The 1,427-nt window shown below is 41.8% G+C and overlaps 1 long non-coding RNA gene across 1 annotated transcript; it reads right to left on the reverse strand.

Moving 5' to 3' along the window:
• Positions 1 to 362: 362 nt before the first annotated feature.
• On the reverse strand, positions 363 to 856 carry LOC105378175 (uncharacterized). Its single transcript, XR_943589.2, has 2 exons — positions 763 to 856; positions 363 to 544 (listed from the first exon to the last, which is right to left on the reverse strand). It is a non-coding gene; the product is annotated as an uncharacterized LOC105378175 (long non-coding RNA).
• Between the last annotated feature and the right edge of the window lie 571 nt (positions 857 to 1,427).

The following is a 1,427-nucleotide window of genomic DNA, read 5'->3' on the forward strand; positions in this document are numbered from 1 at the left end:
GGTTCACACCTGTAATCCCAACACTTAGGGAGGCCAACGCAGGAGGATCACTTGAGTCTAGGAGTAGTTCAAGACCAGCCTAGGCAATATAGTGAGACCCCCATCTCTACAAAAAATTTTTAAAAACTTAGGCATGGGGATGTGTGCCTGTAGTCCCAGCTACTTGGAAGGCTGAGGTGGGAGGATCTTTTGAGTCCAGCGGGGTGAAGCTACAGGTGAGTCATAATCGTGCCACTGCACTCCAGCCTGGGCAACAGAGCAAGACTCTGTCTCAAAAAAAACCAAAAAAAAAACAAAAAAAAAAAAAACCAGAAAAGAAAAAGTTTGGAGGAATACTGCCAAGGAATTTGGAGACAACTGTGTACAGCATTGGTAAAGTATATAGTAGGATGCAGCAGATAAAATAATTGAGTATTATGCAGTTGTTAGAAGCAACATATTGCAGCTCCTTAAAACAGCCTCTGAAGATACCATCCACAGCGGTCTAGGATGTTGCCATGAGTTTTACTGTGAAGCCAAAGGCAACAACTGTTCCAAAGCAAACCTGCAGAAAGGGGGAAGCAGAATTTTAAGAAGCCTTTCTTCACTCTCACTGCTACCCTCTGCCCAGACCACAGTCTACCCTACCTTCCCCTGCTCTTCCCACTCCCATCTTCTCCCACTCCTTCTCACACACTTCAGTGCAAGACAGTCTCTAGTTTTCCCTGGGGTTTCTTACAGAGGTAGTGGTAATGATGGTTAATTCCTGGAGTCTATGCTTACCTCTTACTTTGTATTTTCTGCAGGACTGATTTCAGAAGAAGCAGCCAGCAACCTGAGTTCACTTGCCATCTTAGCAGTCGCAGGTGTGTTCTGATTCTTCACAAGTTCCTGCATATTGGAGGATGCATTGTTACTGAAAGGAGGGGTCGGCCTAGAGATATTTTTAAACCCCAAATTGCACAACTTATAGAAAGCTGATTTACTGCCACCAGTGCAATAATTACAACCCTGGGAAGGGATCTAGAATGCATCATGGATTAAGAGTCATCTTAATTAACTCAACAAATACAGTAACTTGGCTAGTTATTGTAAGTCCCCCATGCCACTAGAAATAAAAATGGGGGGAAAAAGCTGTCTCTGCCCTCTAGTGGAGAAGGAGAGGAATTATCTTATACTTATAATATTGGAAACTTAGATAATTCCTTTAATAGAAGTATGCACAAAGTTATTAGGAGTATTAATGCTTAGCAAAAGGATGTCTTCACAGGAAGGTAGCGTTTCAGCAGAAAACTTGAAGAATGTGTAGAAATTTTCAAAGGAAAATGTTACAGGCAAAGAGTACAATATGATCCAAAGAAAAAAGGCTTGAGGAAATACAGTGTATTTTGGGAAACACAAATAGATCAGTGTTTCTGGAGCATAAACTCCGAGAAAGGTACCAAGAG

This window comes from Homo sapiens, chromosome 14 (genome assembly GCF_000001405.40).
Source record: "Homo sapiens chromosome 14, GRCh38.p14 Primary Assembly".
Taxonomy (NCBI): domain Eukaryota; kingdom Metazoa; phylum Chordata; class Mammalia; order Primates; family Hominidae; genus Homo; species Homo sapiens.